Here is a 21070-nt window from a genome sequence, read left to right on the forward strand (position 1 = left end):
TGGTTAGAAATGTGTGGATGGTTGTGGGGCAGAAGAAACAGCAAGTAGGCTCTGGGCCAGCTACAAACTGGTTATATGATGTCTACTGATGATGATAGTGATGGTGGTGGTGGTGGTGATGGTGGTGGTGGTAATAATTGTGATGGTGGTGGAATGATGATGATGGTGGTGGTGGGTAGTAATGATGGTGTTGGTGATGGTGGTAGTGGTCGTGGTGATGGTGATAGTGATAGTGATGGTGGTGGTAATGATAATGCTAATGGTGGTGGTAATGATAATGATTATCATGATGATAGCGGTGGTGATGGTGATGGTGATGATAATGGTGATGGTGGTAGAATGATGATGATGGTGATGGTGGTGGTGGTGGTAGTAATGATGATGGTGGTGGTGATGATGTTGAGGGTGATGATAATAGTGACAGTGGTGGTGGTAATGATAATGGTGATGGTGGAATGATGGTGATGGTGGTGGAATGATGATGGTGGTGCTGAGTAGTAATGATGGTGATGGTGGTGGTGGCTGTGGTGATGATGGTGGTGGTAGTGGTAGTAACGATGATGGTGGTGGTGATGATAGTGATGATGGTGATGATGTTGAGGGTGATGATAATAGTGATAGCGGTGGTGGTAATGATAATGGTGATGGTGGCGGTGGTGATGATGTTGATGAAGATGATAATGGGAGTGGTGGTGGCAATGTGGATGGTGATGATGATGTTGACGATGATGATGCTCATCACAATCACCTTATATGTTAGTACAGGTAAGAAAGCCAAGGCTAAAAGAGATTAAATAACTGCCCAATGTCACATGGAAGATGGTAGAGCCAGAATTCACACCCAGATCCTTATGATTTTAGCTTGGTGCTTTCATCAGTTGAGGTATTGGAGAGGATCTGTTTGCTTTCTGGCTGCCCAGCAGTCTATCACCCTACATCCCATAATCCTGTTGAGGGATCCACCCTTTGCCCTTCTGGGTATGAGTGGGGTCCTGCCTCCACCTCTAGCATGTAATAGCTGATGCAGGTTGGAGCCAATCAGTGATGGGTTCAGGGACAGGCCTGTGACCCAAGTTCAACCTCTCAGACCTGGCCAACTATTGTTCACTTAATGGGGACAGTGGCCTTCCTCAGTCTTTCCTGGCAAAGCAAGAGCTGCCACAGCATCTGCCACCACAAGAATCTCACCTTTGTGCCCAAGGATGATGCCTACTGCATGGCTGGACAGGGCCTGGGCCCTGGGGCCATCATGTGAGCCTAAAGACTTTTCAGCTCAACAAGAATTCCCCTTTTTTGCTTAATCCATCTTAAGTTGGATTTTCTGTCACTTGCAAGAAAGAGTCATGTTAGATACAACTCTATTCTGTATATTAGTAGGAGCTGCCATGATGGAGTGCGTAGCACGTGCTCGACACTTGATGCACATTCTTATTGTTTCTCCCCCGACAACCCTGCAGCCCCCATTTCATATAAGAAAACAATCAATGAGAGTTCATGACTTTTCTAAGTCCCGACAGCCAGTAAGTGGGAACCAGGGTTCCAATTCAGGTCTCCCTGTGCCATCCTGCACCTTCTCTGAGCCTCAGGTTCCTCACTTGTAAAATAGGAACAATAATATCTAAGTCTTAGAGGTTTGCAGCATTTAAATTTTTATAAGTGCAAAACACTGGGAGCAGCCTGGCACACCCAAAGGTGTTCCTCTTTTGCCAAGTTTCCTTTTAGTTGGCCTCAGTGTTCCCAGACTCAGGAGTGCAGAAAGGGGGATCAAGAAACCAAGGAGGATGACATTTTAAAAATAGTAGAAAAAGCACAGAAAAAGGAAAGCAAACTTTGCAATTATCTAGACCAGTGGTTTTTAACCTTTTTGTTAAACAAAAAACAAACAAACAAAAACCTTTCTTCAAATGACAGCTTATGCAAAAGGCTGATGTGGAAAACACCACTTGAAAATGCTGGTTTTACAAATGAGGGGTTGGAGTCAAGTCATACAAAGAGTTAACGTGCCTAGTCCAGGTCTGTCTGGCTAGTGGCAGAGTCAGAACGCTTTTCTAGGGCTCCAGACTCATAATGTCCTCACCAGCACCTCTGAGAAAGTCAGCAGAGTCAGAACGCTTTTCTAGGTTCCAGACTCATAATGTCCTCACCAGCACCTCTGAGAAAGTCAGGCAGAGATCCCAAAACAGTCTTAGTGTTCCAGTGGTCAAGGGGGTAAGTCTGATAGATATAATTATTGTCAGGGCATACTGAAAAATGAAGAAGGAATCCCTAAGATGTAGTCCAGGTGCTGATACCACATCCTGCACAGATGTTCCCTCTCTTTCTCTCACCCATCAACCAATACCAAATACTATCCTAGATTTGGGGCCATGGGGCCTGTCTGCCTCTCCCTTAGCTGCAGGTCCCCTGCCTAACACCCTCCCACACACATTAGACATGTGGATTTGGTAAGAAGGCTAGTTTATTATAACTTTTGTCATTATTGTTTTACATCATGTTTAGAAATACAATCTGGCTAATTTCACATAAAAAATAATCTAACACCCTTAAGGGCTGGGTGAAAACCCCACTTACCTGAGGAAGCAATATGAATGCTGGAGTTATGAATTCAGAGACTCAAAGACCTTTACTGGTTTTCTGCTTGTTTTAGGTATAAAGGAAATACACAATCATTAAAATAAAAAATGGATCACACCCCAAAACTTCAACAGCAAAACTATTTTGCTAACATGCCCCACTATGAAACCAAAGACAAGAAGTCAGCTACAAATAAAGACCCTGTACAAGGCCTTGGCCCTGTGAAAACCTCCAAAGAAGAAGTCTATTGGCTGTACTCAATCTACACTGCAGTTAAAGAAACACCCACACAGAGACATGAGAAAGAACCAACGTAAGAACTCCAATAAATCAAATGGCCAGAAGGTCATATGTCCTCCAAACAACTGCACCAGTTTTCCAACAAGGGTTCTTAACAAGACTGAGCTAACTCAAATGACAGAAATATAATTCAGACTACGGATACAAATGAAGATCATCAAGATTTAGCACAATGGCAAAATCCAATTCAAGGAAATTAAAAATCACAATAAAATAATATAGAGGCTGAAAGATTAAATTGCTGGTATAAAAAAAGAACCTAACGGATCTGACAGAGCTGAGAGCTGAGAAACAAACTATAAGAATTTCACAATGCAATCCAAGTATTAATAGGAGAATAGACCAAGCTGAGGAAAGGATCTCAGAAATGGAAGACTAGCTCTCTGCAATCAGACAGTTGACAAAAATGAAGAAAAAAGAAGGAAAATGAATGAACAAAACCTACAAGAAATATGGGGAAAAAAGGCCAAATCTACAAATCATTGGCATCTCTGAAAGGGATGGGGAGAAAGCTAACAATCTGGAAAACAATTTAGGATACCAACCATGAAAACTTCCCCAATCTTGCTAGAGAGGCCAACAGTCAAATTCAGAAAATACAGAGAATCCCTGCCAGATTCTACACAAGAAGATCATCCCAAGACACATAATCATCAGCTTTTCCAAGGTCAAAATGAAAGACAGAATGTTAAAGGCAACTAGAGAGAAAGGGCAGGTCATCTACAAAGGGAACCCCATCAACCTAACAGCATACCTCTCAGCTGAACCTCTGCAAGCCAGAAGAGATTGTGGGCCTATATTCAACATTTTAAAATATATATATATTCAGCCAAAAATTTCATATCCAACCAAACTAAGCTTCCTAAGCAACAGAGAAATAAGATCCCTTTTAGATAAGCAAATGTTGAGGGAGTTTGTTACCACCAGACCTGCCTTACAAGAGATCTTGAAAAGAGCACCAACTATAGAAAGGAAAGAGGGCTACTAGCCAATACAAAAATACAATTAAATTCACAAACCAGTGACACTATAAAGCCACCACACAAACAAGCCAGCATAAAAACACAATCAGAGCATCAAATTCACACATACCAATACTTGCCTTGAATGTAAATGGGCTAAATGCCCAACTTAAGAGGCACAGAGTGGCAAGCTCGATAAAAAAGCAAGACCCAATTGTATGCTGTTGTCAAGAGAACCATCTCACATGTAATGACACCCAAAGGCTCAAAATAAAGAGATGGAGGAGAATCTACCACGCAAATGGAAATCAGAAAAAAGCAGGGGTGGCAATCCTAATTTCAGACAAAACAGACTTTAAACCAACAAAGACCAAAAAAGACAAAGAAGGGCATTACATAATGGTAAAGGGTTCAATTCAACAAGACCAACTATCCTAAATATATATGCATCCAACACAAGAGCACCCAGCTTCATAAAGAAAGTTCTTAGAGACCTACAAAGAGACTGAGATGCCCACACAATAATAGTGGGAGACTTCAGCAGTTCACTGACAGTATTAGACAGATCATTGAGGCAGAAAACTTACAAAGATATTCAGGACCTGAACTCAACATTGGATCAAATGGATCTGATAGACCTCCACAGAACTCTCTACCCCCAAACAATAGAATATATATTATTCTCATAATCACATGGCACATTCTCTAAAAATCAACCACATAATTGGACATAAAACAATCCTCAGCAAATGCAAAAGAACCAAAATTATACCAAAAACACCCTCAGACGACAGCTCAATAAAAATAGAAGCCAAGACTAAGAAAATTACTCAAAACCATGCAATTACATGGGAATTAAACAACATGCTCCTGAATGACTTGGGGGTAAATAATAAAACTAAGGCAGAAATCAAGAAGTTCTTTGAAACTAAAGAGAATTAAGAAACAACATACTGGAATCTCTGGGACACAGCTAAGGTAGTGTTAAGAGGGAAATTCATAGCATTAAAAGCTCACATCAAAAAGAAAGATCCCAAAGTAAGAACCTAACATCACAACTTGAAGAATTAGAGAAACAAGAGCAAATCAACTCCAAAACTAGCAGCAGGCAAGGAAAACCAAAATCAGAGTTGAAATGAAGAAAGTCAAGACATGAAAAAACATTCAAAAGATCAACAAATCCAAGAGTTGGTTTTTTGAAAACATTAATAAGACAGATAGTTTGCTACCTGGCTAATAAAGAAGAAAAGAGAGAGAAGACCCAAAGTAACACAATTACAAATGACAAGGGGGATGTTAGCACTGACCCCACAAAAATAAAAATAACCATCAGAAACTACTACAGACAGCTCTATGCACACAAACTAGAAAATCTAGAAGAGATGGATAAATTACTGGACACATACACCCTCCCAAGACAGAACCAGGAAGAAATTGATTCCTTGAACAGAACCACAATGATCTCCAAAATTGAATCAGTAATGAATAGCCTACTAAGAAACAAAAGGCCAGGACCAGATAGATTCACAGCTGAATTCTACCAGATGTGCAAAGAAGAGCTAGTACCATTCCTACTGAAACGTCAAAAAAAATTGAGGAAGAGGGACTGCTTCCCATTTTATTCTATGAGGCCAGCATCATCCTGATACCAAAACCTGAAAGAGACACAACAACAATAAAAACTTCAGGCTGATATCCTTGATGAACACTGATACAAAAATCCTCAACAAAATACTTGCAAACCTAATCCAGCAGGACATCAAAAAGCTAATCCATCATGATCAAATAGTCTTCATCCCTGGGATGTAAGATTGGTTCAACATATGTAAATCAATAAAATGTGACTCATCACATAAATGTGACTAAAGACAAAACCCACATGATTATCTTGATAGATGCAGAAAAGGCTTTTGAAAAAATGTACCACCGTTCATGTTGAAAACTCTCAATAAACTAGGTATTGAAGGAATATATCTCAAAATAATAAGAGACATCTATGACAAACCCACAGCCAGCATCATACTGAATGGGCAAAAGCTGGATGCATTCCCCTTGAAAACCAGCACAAGGTAAGGATGCCCTCTCTCATCAGTCCTATTCAACACAGTATTGGAAGTCCTGGCCAGAGCAGTCAAGCAAGGGAAAGAAATAAAGAGCATCCATACGGGAAGAGAGGAAATCAAACTATCCCTGTTTGCAGATGACATGATTCTGTATCTAGAAAACCCCATAGTCTCAGCCCAAAAGCTCCTTCTCTGTTAATCAACTTCAGCAAAGTTTCAGAATACAAAATCAAAATACAAAAATCACTAGCATCCCTATACACCAAGAGCCAAGCCGAGAGCCAAATCAGGAACACAATCCCATTCACAATTGCCACAAAAAATAAAATACCTAAGAATACAGCCAACCAGGGCGGTGACAGATCTCTACATTGAGAATTACAAAATGCTGCTCAAAGAAATCAGGGATGACACAAGTGAATGGAAAAACATTCCATGCTCATGGATCGGAAGAATCAATATCATTAAAATGGCCATATGGCCCAAAGTAATTTACAGATTCATTGCTATTCCTATCAAACTGCCAATGACATTCTTCACAGCACTGTTAAAAAACTATTTTAAAATTTATATAGAACCAAAAAGGAGCCAGAATACCCATGGTAATCCTAAACAAAAAGAACAAAGGTGGAGGCATCACATTACCTGTCTTCAAACTACACTTCAGGGCCATAGTAACCAAAACAACATGGTACTGGTGAAAACAAAACAAAACAAAACAAACAAACAAACAAACAGACACATAGACCAACGGGACAGAATAGAGAGCCCAGAAATAAGGCCAAACCTACAACCATCTGATCTTTGACAAAGCTGACAAAAATCAAGGTCTAATATCCAGCATCTATAAGAAACTTAAACAAATTTACAAGAAACAAAACAACTCCATTAAAAAGTATGCAAGAGACATGACCAAACACTTTTCTAAAGGAAACATACAGGCAGCCCACAAGCATATGAAAAAATGCTCAATATCACTGATAGTTAGAGAAATGTAAATCAAAACCACAACGAGAAACCATCTCATCTCAGCCAGAATGGCTATTATTTTTAAAAAAGTCAAAAAATAACAGATGCTGGAAAGGTTGTGGAGAAAAGGGAGCACTTACACACTGTTGGTGGGACTGTAAATTAGTTCATCTATTGTAGAAAGCAGTCCAGTGATTCCTCAAAGAGCTAAAAACAGACCTAACACTCAACCCAGCAATCCTATTACCGGGTATATACCCAGAGGAATATAAATTACTCTATCATAAAGACAGATGAATGTGAATGTTCATTGCAGCACTATTCATAAGAGCAAAGACTTGGAATCACCTATATGCCTATCGATGACAGATTGGATAAAGAAAATGTGGTACATATACACCATGAAATACTATGTGGCCATAAAAAAGAATGAGATAATGCCTTTTACAGGAACACGAATGGAGCTGGAGGCCATTATCCTTAGAAAACTAACACAGGAACAGAAAACCAAATACCACATGTTCACACTTACAAGTGGGAGCTAAATGATGACAACTCATGGACACAAAAATGGGAGCAACAGACACTGGGGCCTACCTGAAGGAGAAGAGCGGGAGGAGAGAGAGGAGCAGGAAATACTAAGTATTGGGTACTAGGCTTAGGACCTAGGTGACAAAATAATCTGTACAACTAACCCACGAGACACAAATTTACTTATGCAAAAAACCTGCACATGTAACCCTGAACCTAAAATAAAAGTTAAAATTAATTAAAATAGAATGAAAAAGGTTCTGAAAAAAAAAAAAAAAAAGAGAGAGACTCAAAGAAACAGTCTTCCACCCCTTGCCCATGTGCCTTCAAGACCCATTATGCAGAAATACACAGCTGCCCCGGCAAAATCAGGAGTGGGTGGACCACATTCATGGATAGGAATTTGCACAGCTTTCTCCAAAATGATCATTTTGTCACATGGACTGTAGGTCAAAACCAATTCGTTATGTGGGCAATGGAATTTATCTCACCTTGGGTTTCTCCCCAGTCAGTGATGTAACATTCAGTCTGGTCGGCGACCACATAATTTGGGGATGGCAGACAAGCTGGGATTACTTTGTCAGTGATGACGGCAGGACTGAAAGAAAAGCATCAGCAGTTATGTTTGACTGCTCTGCTAGCAGCTGCAGCACCCACAACCAGGCATCCCTGCCTTGAAGCTCCAGAGCCCTCTGAGCTGGCACTGCCTTGCTTCACTGGCACAGAGCAATGTAGAACATAGAGTTTCACCCTCACATTTGCCTGTGGTTGCCTATGGACTACGCAGATATAAGGTTTCATTTGAAAGGCATCAGTTGCATATAAGAAACTGCTGGTGGCCTTCACCTTTGAAAGTAGGGATGACAAAGGCGCACTTCTCATGTATATTCTGTGCACAACTGGAATCTCACGCCGAGTGCATCCTTTTACATTAATTGAACAGGGCATTGATCAGTGCACAGAATGTCTGACTGAGGCGCCACGAAGAGGCTGTAAAATTGCAAACACGTTGTGTGCCCAGAGCAACTTGTTCCATCCTTGCTTGGATCCTCCACTTCTTCCTCAGTGAATGTTACTACACCATGGTTGTAAGAATCTAGTGAAATACTTGATACCAAATGAAAGTGTGAACATTGAGATGAATGTTTTCAAAGCTGCAACATGTATGGGGAGTCATGCGAACTGGTTCTCTTATTGGGAATGAAGTCTGTCACTGACTGCTTGACTTGAGCCCAGCCCATGGGACACGGAGCAGAAGGGTGTATATCATGGAGTGAACTGGGCCATGGACATGTAACAGAAGACCAGCTGAGAGTCTGAATGTTATTCTGGGGCACATGTGAGTCTAGGATTGGTGCCAAGAGCATGTAAATGAACAACAAGCAAATATTGAAGGTGGACCATTTGTTTTTCCTTGCTAATTGGCTGCCCAATTTTGAAACAGTCTGCAGCACACACTGTCACATGGGAATGATGTTTTACAGTGACACATATTTAGAAGGGAGAGAAAGGATAAATACATGTTTTACAATTTAAAATTTTCACTATTACCAAACAAAAATATCCACTCAAAATACAACTCAACAATGCAGCAGTCATCTAATAGCAAAGAAATGCAGAGAAAAGCAAAACTGCAGGTGACTATGAATAAAGGGTGAATGTAGTCTCAAATCCTCAAAGAGCTGTGTTTATTTCATTGATTCAATGAATGAATTGAATAAATACTCGTATTCAATTCTGATGTGCTTTAAGGATGAATATGCTCATTTTACACTTAGCACACACTTTGTCCCCTGTTCTCTTTATAGAAAGTTTCTTCCTCATTGTTAAGGTTTCCCTTTGGTACCAATTTTCCCTGTCCACTTAAAGTATTTCATTTAAAAAACTCAGCATAAAATATACACTGAGTCTGAAAAGAGTCTGAAAGTGGTATGTGAGCTCTGGCATCTCCACTGAGCTCACTGTTCCCCTGCAGTTGTTCTTTTCCCAGTAGCTGTTTCTTGTCCTTCTTTCTTTGTGGAACCTCTCCCTGTGCATACACAGCTTTGTATTTAGCCAAAGACTTGAGGACTTTTTTTTTTTTTTTTTTTTTGAGATGAAGTCTCGCTCTTGTCGCCCTGGCTGGAATGCAATGGCACGATCTTGGCTCACTGCAACCTTCGCCTCTCAGATTCAAGCGATTCTCCTGCCTCAGACTCCCAAGTAGCTGGGATTACAGGCGCGTGCCACCATGCCCAGCTAATTTTTTTTTTTTTTTTTTTTTTAGTAGAGATGGGGTTTGAACATGTTGGCCAGGCAGGTCTCGAACTCCTGGCCTCAGGTGATCTGCCCACCTTGGCTTCCCAAAGTGCTGGGATTACAGGAGTGAGCCACTGCACCCGGCCTATTGTTTCTCAAATAAGGGCAAGAAATTTAAAGAGAAAATAGGAAGTACCTTCCCCCACTGTAACTTATGAAGTAAGAAGCTAATTTATCATGTGGTAAAAAGGAACCAAATAAAACCTGTGTCTCAACATGTTAGGAGCACTGCTTCAGTGAAATCAGTGAAGTAAGTGCCCATATTAGTCACGCATTGATACACATACTTATTTTCCTAAGTGAATTCTCCACAATTCTGAAAATCAGTGAAAAGATCATCTCATGTTAGTTCTACACAAAACCAAGCAGCGCATGTGACTCTCCCTGTGTCAGGGCATACGCATCCCTTTCCACCGAGGATCAATGTGCCCTATGGGAAGCAACTTCTTGCCTTTCAAACCAAATTCAGTAAATAAAAATTGTTTTGTATAGCTGACATAGGATCACATCAATTGCACGAAAAAGGTCAGTCTGTGCAAGGAACTTACAACGTCGAATGGGGCATGTTAAGAAGGCGTAACCCATCACACTGGCTTTTCTGCTGTTCGAATTTTTTTCTGGTCAAAAATACAGGTGCTAGGACTCCCTGAGCCCAGCAGGTGTTAGAACAGAGGAAGGCAGAGGGCGGCCTCCTGCAAAACATCTCCTACTCCTGCCAGTTTCTAATCCAGGGTCCAGGGGCTGGAGCATCCGGGCTCCCGGTGCTTGCGCTTGGAAACAGAAATGCCCTCCCACAAGCCCCACTTCTCTCAGGGGCTCCGACCCACCTACCTGAGGATCAGTCCGGGAGCCAGCGTCTGGACAGAGCGGGGTCGCGCCCTGGAACACAGGGCAGGAGAGGAAGGAGAAAAGCCCAGCTGACAGCGCAGGGGCGAGCGTCCTGCCTTTCCCAGCGGCCTTGGCCTGACCATCCTGGCCCTGCGGGAGGGGGTCCGCCCACCCGCGCCCTGTCCATGTCTCCGCCCCGTTCCAGCGCCCCGTGTCCGCGCCCTCCTCCTGTCCCTTGCCACCGCCTCGTGTCCCTCATACCGCGCCTCCGCGGAGCGCAGGCTGCCTTGGTCCGGTCCCGCCTTGGACCCTCGCCTTCGCTCCAGAAGAATCAGTGTCCTCCGGGCGGCCACGGGCCCGCTGCGGCTCCCACCCTGGCGCCCCTGCATTGCTCTCCCCACTCTCAGCCTCACCCCCCACCCACTACTACCACCTCGTATTTTGCAGCCTCAGGACATGAACCATCTGCTGCCTGAAGTCGCTTGGGATACAGCCCGCGAAGCCCGCGACAGGTTTTGGGAGCCGGACACTCCCTCCCACCTGAGGCATGGGCAAAGTGTGGGGTCTGCTGCCCCCTGTCGGTGTGGCTGACGTTCGCTTCTCTTTCCACGCTGCCCAGCAGTGTTCCAACTGGAACATTCCTTTTTTTTTTTTTTTAATTAATGTATTTGTTTATTTATTTATTGTTATTATACTTTAAGTTTTAGGATACATGTGCACAATGTGCAGGTTAGTTACATATGTATACATGTGCCATGCTGGTGCGCTGCACCCACTAACTCGTCATCTAGCATTAGTTATATCTCCCAGTGCTATCCCTCCCCCCTCCCCCCACCCCACAACAGTCCCCAGAGTGTGATGTTCCCCTTCCTGTGTCCATGTGTTCTCATTGTTCAATTCCCACCTATGAGTGAGAATATGTGGTGTTTGGTTTTTTGTTCTTGCGATAGTTTACTGAGAATGATGATTTCCAGTTTCATCCATGTCCCTACAAAGGACATGAACTCATCGTTTTTTATGACTGCATAGTATTCCATGGTGTATATGTGCCAATTTTCTTAATCCAGTCTATCATTGTTGGACATTTGGGTTGGTTCCAAGTCTTTGCTATTGTGAATAATGCCCCAATAAACATACATGTGCATGTGTCTTTATAGCAGCATGATTTATAGTCCTTTGGGTATATACCCAGTAATGGGATGGCTGGGTCAAATGGTATTTCTAGTTCTAGATCCCTGAGGAATCACCACACTGACTTCCACAATGGTTGAACTAGTTTACAGTCCCACCAACAGTGTAAAAGTGTTCCTATTTCTCCACATCCTCTCCAGCACCTGTTGTTTCCTGACTTTTTAATGATTGCCATTCTAACTGGTGTGAGATGGTAACTCATTGTGGTTTTGATTTGCATTTCTCTGATGGCCAGTGATGGTGAGCATTTTTTCATGTGTTTTTTGGCTGCATAAATGTCTTCTTTTGAGAAGTGTCTGTTCATGTCCTTCGCCCACTTTTTGATGGGGTTGTTTGTTTTTTTCTTGTAAATTTGTTTGAGTTCATTGTAGATTCTGGATATTAGCCCTTTGTCAGATGAGTAGATTGCAAAAATTTTCTCCCATTCTGTAGGTTGCCTGTTCACTATGATGGTAGTTTCTTTTGCTGTGCAGAAGCTCTTTAGTTTAATTCAATCCCATTGGTCAATTTTGGCTTTTGTTGCCATTGCTTTTGGTGTTTTAGACATGAAGTCCTTGCCCATGCCTATGTCCTGAATGGTAATGCCTAGGTTTTCTTCTAGGGTTTTCATGGTTTTAGGTCTAACGTTTAAGTCTTTAATCCATCTTGAATTGATTTTTGTATAATTTGTTAAGGAAGGGATCCAGTTTCAGCTTTCTACTTATGGCTAGCCAGTTTTCCCAGCACCATTTATTAAATAGAGAATCCTTTCCCCGTTGCTTGTTTTTCTCAGGTTTGTCAAAGATCAGATAGTTGTAGATATGCGGCGTTATTTCTGAGGGCTCTGTTCTGTTCCATTGATCTATATCTCTGTTTTGGTACCAGTACCATGCTGTTTTGGTTACTGTAGCCTTGTAGTATAGTTTGAAGTCAGGTAGTGTGATGCCTCCAGCTTTGTTCTTTTGGCTTAGGATTGACTTGGCAATGCGGGCTCTTTTTTGGTTCCATATGAACTTTAAAGTAGTTTTTTCCAATTCTGTGAAGAAAGTCATTGGTAGCTTGATGGGGATGGCATTGAATCTGTAAATTACCCTGGGCAGTATGGCCATTTCCACGATATTGATTCTTCCTACCCATGAGCATGGAATGTTCTTCCATTTGTTTGTGTCCTCTTTTATTTCCTTGAAGAGTGGTTTGTAGTTCTCCTTGAAGAGGTCCTTCACGTCCCTTGTAAGTTGGATTCCTAGGTATTTTATTCTCTTTGAAGCAATTGTGAATGGGAGTTCACTCATGATTTGGCTCTCTGTTTGTCTGTTGTTGGTGTATAAGAATGCTTGTGATTTTTGTACATTGATTTTGTATCCTGAGACTTTGCTGAAGTTGCTTATCCACTTAAAGAGATTTTGGGCTGAGACAATGGGGTCTTCTAGATATACAATCATGTCATCTGCAAACAGGGACAATTTGACTTCCTCTTTTCCTAATTGAATACCCTTTATTTCCTTCTCCTGCCTGATTGCCCTGGCCAGAACTTCCAACACTATGTTGAATAGGAGTGGTGAGAGAGGGCATCCCTGTCTTGTGCCAGTTTTCAAAGGGAATGCTTCCAGTTTTTGCCCATTCAGTATGATATTGGCTGTGGGTTTGTCATAGATAGCTCTTATTATGTTGAAATACATCCCATCAATACCTAATTTATTGAGAGTTTTTAGCATGAAGGTTGTTGAATTTTGTCAACAGTCTCTTCTGCATCTATTGAGATAATCATGTGGTTTTTGTCTTTGGCTCTGTTTATATGCTGGATTACATTTATTGATTTGCGTATATTGAACCAGCCTTGCATCCCAGGGATGAAGCCCACTTGATCATGGCGGATAAGCTTTTTGATGTGCTGCTGGATTCGGTTTGCCAGTATTTTATTGAGGATTTTTGCATCAATGTTCATCAAGGATATTGGTCTAAAATTCTCTTTTTTCATTGTGTCTCTGCCCGGCTTTGGTATCAGGATGATGCTGGCCTCATAAAATGAGTTAGGGAGGATTCCCTCTTTTTCTATTGATTGGAATAGTTTCAGAAGGAATGGTACCAGTTCCTCCTTGTACCTCTGGTAGAATTCGGCTGTGAATCCATCTGGTCCTGGACTCTTTTTGGTTGGTAAGCTATTGATTATTGCCACAATTTCAGATCCTGTTATTGGTCTATTCAGAGATTCAACTTCTTCCTGGTTTAGTCTTGGGAGAGTGTATGTGTCGAGGAATTTATCCATTTCTTCTAGATTTTCTAGTTTATTTGCGTAGAGGTGTTTGTAGTATTCTCTGATGGTAGTTTGTATTTCTGTGGGATTGGTGGTGATATCCCCTTTATGATTTTTTATTGCGTCTATTAGATTCTTCTCTCTTTTTTTCTTTATTAGTCTTGCTAGTGGTCTATCTATTTTGTTGATCCTTTCAAAAAACCAGCTCCTGGATTCATTAATTTTTTGAAGGGTTTTTTGTGTCTCTATTTCCTTCAGTTTTGCTCTGATTTTAGTTATTTCTTGCCTTCTGCTAGCTTTTGAATGTGTTTGCTCTTGCTTTTCTAGTTCTTTTAATTGTGATGTTAGGATGTCAATTTTGGATCTTTCCTGCTTTCTCTTGTGGGCATTTAGTGCTATAAATTTCCCTCTACACACTGCTTTGAATGCGTCCCAGAGATTCTGGTATGTTGTGTCTTTGTTCTCGTTGGTTTCAAAGAACATCTTTATTTCTGCCTTCATTTTGTTATGTACCCAGTAGTCATTCAGGAGCAGGTTGTTCAGTTTCCATGTAGTTGAGCGGTTTTGAGTGAGATTCTTAATCCTGAGTTCTAGTTTGATTGTACTGTGGTCTGAGAGATAGTTTGTTATAATTTCTGTTCTTTTACATTTGCTGAGGAGAGCTTTACTTCCAAGTATGTGGTCAATTTTGGAATAGGTGTGGTGTGGTGCTGAAAAAAATGTATATTGTGTTGATTTGGGGTGGAGAGTTCTGTAGATGTCTATTAGGTCTGCTTGGTGCAGAGCTGAGTTCAATTCCTGGGTATCCTTGTTGACTTTCTGTCTCGTTGATCTGTCTAATGTTGACAGTGGGGTGTTAAAGTCTCCCATTATTAATGTGTGGGAGTCTAAGTCTCTTTGTAGGTCACTCAGGACTTGCTTTATAAATCTGGGTGCTTCTGTATTGGGTGCATATATATTTAGGATAGTTAGCTCTTCTTGTTGAATTGATTCCTTTACCATTATGTAATGGCCTTCTTTGTCTCTTTTGATCTTTGTTGGTTTAAAGTCTGTTTTATCAGAGACTAGTATTGCAACCTCTTCCTTTTTGTGTTTTCCATTTGCTTGGTAGATCTTCCTCCATCCTTTTATTTTGAGCCTATGTGTGTCTCTGCACATGAGATGGGTTTCCTGAATACAGCACACTGATGGGTCTTGACTCTTTATCCAATTTGCCAGTCTGTGTCTTTTAATTGGAGCATTTAGTCCATTTAAATTTAAAGTTAATATTGTTATGTGTGAATTTGATCCTGTCATTATGATGTTAGTTGGTTATTTTGCTCGTTAGTTGATGTAGTTTCTTCCTAGTCTCAATGGTCTTTACATTTTGTCATGATTTTGCAGCAGCTGGTACCGGTTGTTCCTTTCCATGTTTAGCGCTTCCTTCAGGAGCTCTTTTAGGGCAGGCCTGGTGGTGACAAAATCTCTCAACAATTGCTTGTCTGTAAAGTATTTTATTTCTCCTTCACTTATGAAGCTTAGTTTGGCTGGATATGAAATTCTGGGTTGAAAATTCTTTTCTTTAAGAATGTTGAATATTGGCCCCCACTCTTTTCTGGCTTGTAGAGTTTCTGCCGAGAGATCCACTGTTAGTCTGATGGGCTTCCCTTTGAAGGTAACCCGACCTTTGTCTCTGGCTGCCCTTAACCTTTTTTCCTTCATTTCAACTTTGGTGAATCTGACAATTATGTGTCTTGGAGTTGCTCTTCTCGAGGAGTATGTTTGTGGCGTTCTCTGTATTTCCTGAATCTGAATGTTGGCCTGCCTTGCTAGATTGGGGAAGTTCTCCTGGATGATATCCTGCAGAGTGTTTTCCAACTTGGTTCCATTCTCCCCGTCACTTTCAGGTACACCAATCAGACGTAGATTTGGTCTTTTCACATAGTCCCATATTTCTTGGAGGCTTTGCTCGTTTCTTTTTATTCTTTTTTCTCTAAACTTCCCTTCTCGCTTCATTTCATTCATTTCATCTTCCATCACTGAAACCCTTTCTTCCAGTTGATCGCATCGGCTCCTGAGGCTTCTGCATTCTTCACGTAGTTCTCGAGCCTTGGTTTTCAGCTCCATCAGCTCCTTTAAGCACTTCTCTGTATTGGTTATTCTAGTTAGACATTCTTCTAAATTTTTTTCAAAGTTTTCAACTTCTTTGCCTTTGGTTTGAATGTCCTCCCGTAGCTCAGAGTAATTTGATTGTCTGAAGCCTTCTTCTCTCAGCTCGTCAAAGTCATTCTCCGTCCAGCTTTGTTCTGTTGCTGGTGAGGAACTGCATTCCTTTGGAGGAGGAGAGGCGCTCTGCTTTTTAGAGTTTCCAGTTTTTCTGCTCTGTTTTTTCCCCATCTTTGTGGTTTTATCTACTTTTGGTCTTTGATGATGGCGATGTACAGATGGGTTTTTGGTGTGGATGTCCTTTCTGTTTGTTAGTTTTCCTTCTAACAGACAGGACCCTCAGCTGCAGATCTGTTGGAATACCCAGCCGTGTGAGGTGTCAGTCTGCCCCTGCTGGGGGATGCCTCCCAGTTAGGCTGCTCAGGGGTCAGGGGTCAGGGACCCACTTGAGGAGGCAGTCTGCCCGTTCTCAGATCTCCAGCTGCGTGCTGGGAGAACCACTGCTCTCTTCAAAGCTGTCAGACAGGGACATTTAAGTCTGCAGAGGTTACTGCTGTCTTTTTGTTTGTCTGTGCCCTGCCTGCAGAGGTGGAGCCTACAGAGGCAGGCAGGCCTCCTTGAGCTGTGGTGGGCTCCACCCAGTTCGAGCTTCCGGGCTGCTTTGTTTACCTAAGCAAGCCTGGGCAATGGCGGGCGCCCCTCCCCCAGCCTCGCTGCCGCCTTGCAGTTTGATCTCAGACTGCTGTGCTAGCAATCAGCAAGACTCCGTGGGCGTAGGACCCTCCGAGCCAGGTGCGGGATATAAACTCCCGGTGCACCGTTTTTTAAGCCCGTCGGAAAAGCGCAGTATTCGGGTGGGAGTGACCCGATTTTCCAGGTGCCGTCTGTCACCCCTTTCTTTGACTAAGAAAGGGAACTCCCTGACCCCTTGCACTTCCCGAGTGAGGCAATGCCTCGCCCTGCTTCGGCTGGCGCACAGTGCGCGCACCCACTGACCTGCGCCCGCTGTCTGGCACTCCCTAGTGAGATGAACCGGGTACCTCAGACGGAAATGCAGAAATCACCCTTCTTCTGCGTCGCTCACGCTGGGAGCTGTAGACCGGAGCTGTTCCTATTCAGCCATCTTGGCTCCTCCCTCCCAACTGGAACATTTCAAAGGCAAGGCTGAGATAAATGCTGTTTACAAATTCCAGAAAAGAAAAAAAAAACAATGCTGCTCTTCTGCTCAGCAATAGGTTTTCCCAGCCAAGCCAGCACTTCTGTGGGTTGTATTTAAGTCTTAAGTGTGTCAGAGCTGTTCCCTGCAGGCGCTGGTATTGTCCAAGGGGGGAAGTTTGAGGACAGTGTCTCTGAAAACTCCAAGCTTTTGGATGAAGCAACCTTTCCACATTAAGTATGTAACATAAGACCTGGTAGATATCTCCTATGATTTACCCATCATGCAAAAGGACTGAGTCTCTGCAAAACAGGGCTTTCAAAGAACCTTTTTCAGGAGAAGAAAATGTTGGAAGAGCTGATTCATTGCCTATTTGCTTTTGACTTGGCATCTAAACTGATCCCTGTAAAAGTATTTATGGGTATGGACAACAAATAATGAAAGGGATCAAAATCGGAATGTTTCATTCAGTTTAACCTGGCCCATGCAGTGCACTTCAGGCCATAGACTCTGGTTTGAACTCTGTGACTTCTACGATCCCTTGGCTTTGTTTGTTTCATTGCTTGGACCTTCAGACTGATCAGAGTTCTGTGAGTACAGTAGGTGCTCGATAAATGCTTATTCTGGGTACTACCATTGATGCCTGTGGCAGTGACTGCAGATGAGCAGGCTCCGGCAGCAGTGAGGTGTGGGGCTGGAGGTCCTGGCTCTGGCATCCAACCCTGCTCCATCCGCCACACTAGCTGTGTGACTTTGGGGAAGCTATGAACCTCTGCTGAACTCTATATTAGTAAGACGAGAGTGGTAGTAATAGCACCTCCCTCATAGGGTCAGAGTGAGGAGTAAATGAAATAGCCTGTGTAAAGGACCTAGTGTGGTGCCTCATATATGTGAAAACTACTCATGGAACAGGGGAGTAGTATCCAGAATATGCAAGGAACTCAAACATCTCCACAGCAAAAAAACCAACCCAATTAAAATATGGGCAAATGACTGGAGTAGACATTTCTCAAAGAAAACATATGAATGTCCAACGAATGAATGAAAATGTGCTCAACATCACTAATCCTCAGAGAAATGCAAACCTAAACCACAATGAGCTATTTTCTCACCCCAGTAAGGATGGCTATTATCAAAAAGACAAAAATAGCATGCTGGTGAGGATGCAGAAAAAAAGGGAACTTTTGTACATAGTTAGTAGGAATTTAAACTGCGCAATCACTCTGGAGAACAGTATGCAGGTTCCTTAAAAAACTACAAATAGAAGTACCATATGATCCAGCTATCTCACTACTGGGCTTTATCTAACAGAATGGAAATCATTATATCAAAGAGTCATCTGCAGCCCCAGGTTTATTGCAGCTCTCTTCACAATAACCAAGACATGGAATCAACCTAGTTGTCTGACCACACATGAATGGATAAAGAAAATGTGGTATATACATATCATGGAATACTATTCAGCCATAAAAAGAATGGAATCCTATCATTCACAGTAACATGAGTGACGTTAGAGGACATTATGTTAAATAAGCCAGGAACAGAAAGGTTAGCACTGCATGTTCTCACTCATATGTGTCAGCTAAAAGAGTTGAACACAGGAAGTAAAAAGTAGGACAGAAGGTACTAGAGGCTGAGAAGAATCCAGGGCAGGGAGGGATAGGAAGAAAGTTGTTAAAGGCTATAAAATTACAGCTTGATAGGAGGAATATGTTCTAGTGTTCTATACCACTGCAGGATGTCGACAATAATGAATAGTTTCAAATATCTAAAAGGGGGATGTTGAATATTCCCAACATAAATATATAAAAAATGATAAACGTTTGAGATGATGTATATGTTAATTACCCTGATTTGATCACTATACATTATATGTATTGAAAATCTCTATGTACACCATGAATATGTACAATTATTATTTGTTGATTAAAACTTTTTTTAGAAAAACTTGATCTTATAGAATTAGAAAGTAGAATAATGGTTATCAGAGGCTGAGAAGCAGAGTTGGGGAGAGGACAGTCAAGAGAGGTTGGTCAATGGGTTCAAAGTTCCAGTTAGAAATAATAAGTTCTGGTTGTTCTATTACACACTAAGGTGACTATAGCTAATAATAATGTATTGTATATTTCAAAATAAAACTTTTAAAAAAAAACTTGATCTCATAGAATAAGAAAGTAGAATAATGGTTATCAGAGGCTGAGAAGGGTAGTTGGGGAGAAGACAATCGAGAGAGGTTGGTCAATGGGTTCAAAGTTCCAGTTAGAAATAATACGTTCTGGTTGTTCTATTACACATTAGGGTGACTATAGCTAATAACAATGTATTGTATATTTCAAAATAACTAGAAGAGAGGATTTTAAATCTTCTCACCACAAAGAAAGGATAAATGTTTAAGGTGATAAATATGCTGATTACCCTAATTGACCATTATACAAGGTATCCATGCATTGAAACATCACACTGTACCCCATAAATATGTACGATTGCTATGTGTCAATTGTAAATGAAATGAAACATTTAAAAAAGAGCTTAGTATGGTGCCTAGACACTTTAGGCATTAATCAATCAAATAATATCAAGATATTATTATTATTATTCCTCCTCCCAGTAGTAAATTGCAGTGTAGTGGTTAAAAGTAATCACTTAAGACTCAGATATTTGGGTTAGAAACTGGCTCTGCCAATTTCTGTTGGCATAACTTTGGGCAAATCAGTTTCAATGTCCTGATCTATAAAATGGTAATAATAACAGAGAAAAACTCTGGTGATTGTAGCATGGTATAGGTAATTCATAGTGCTGTTTGTGCCTGGCACAGATGGACAAGCCTACAATAAATCATAGCTAGTAGTAAAATAAAAATCATGAAAAGGGTATGTTTAGATTAGCCACCAATGCTTAATTGTCCTCTAAGGTAATAACGTTATTTGTCTAATTTCACCTTTCCACTTACTTGCTTATCGGAAGGTTGATAGCTAGGGATTGCCAGAGTGTCTGAACTCAGAGGTAACTTCCCCTGAAGATCAAGGGCTGTCTGCAGCCCCTGCTGGAAGCCGGCTTGCCAACATCAGTCCTTCCACTTGGAGCAATTCTTGTGCAGTCACTGATGCAAAGTAATATTGAAAGAATTGCCTCAAGGATGTTCAATGGTGATTACTATTGATCGTGGCCTGGTAGGTGGAAAGACTGCTCAGAGGAACTAAATGCAGCGACCTCAGCTCTCACAGTTATTTATATATTGGAACTTGGTTTTGCAAAGTAAGTCAAATGAAACTGAACAACATTTGCAATAATCCTTCACTGCTGGCCAGACAGAGAAGGGTTTTGGGCTAAGAACTGGGCTAAGGAACCCTGCAGGTTTGAGGTTAGTTATGAGTTGGTGCTCCCTTGCCTACAGATTATTTCAAAACAATGTCCCTACAAATTACTGAACTGGAATGTCAACTCAGTGGATTCTTTTTTTTTTTTTTGAGACGGAGTCTCGCTCTGTCTCCCAGGCTGGAGTGCAGTGGCGCGATCTCTGCTCACTGCAAGCTCCACCTCCTGGGTTCATGCCATTCTCTTGCCTCAGCCTCCCAAGTAGCTGGGACTACAGGTGCCCGCCACCACGCCTGGCTAATTTTTTGTATTTTTAGTAGAGACAGGGTTTCACTGTGTTAGCCAGGATGGTCTTGATCTCCTGACCTCAAGATCCACCTGCCTGGGCCTCCCAAAGTGCTGGGATTACAGGCGTGAGCCACCGCGCCCGGCCAGTGGATTCTTTCTTCTCTGGCCACTCTTAAGGGACTCATGTACTGTTGGATTCAGAAGAGGGCGTTTAAAA

General features: G+C 41.8%; 1 annotated feature.

Moving 5' to 3' along the window:
* Positions 16974-17528: an enhancer, noted in NCBI's record as "H3K27ac-H3K4me1 hESC enhancer chr6:161106525-161107079 (GRCh37/hg19 assembly coordinates)". NCBI's record gives its function as "activates a minimal SCP1, AML or CMV promoter by ChIP-STARR-seq in naive H9 embryonic stem cells {active_cell/tissue: H9 hESC(naive)}" and the evidence as "EXISTENCE:reporter gene assay evidence [ECO:0000049][PMID:30033119]".

Source organism: Homo sapiens, chromosome 6 (assembly GCF_000001405.40).
Source record: "Homo sapiens chromosome 6, GRCh38.p14 Primary Assembly".
NCBI lineage: Eukaryota > Metazoa > Chordata > Mammalia > Primates > Hominidae > Homo > Homo sapiens.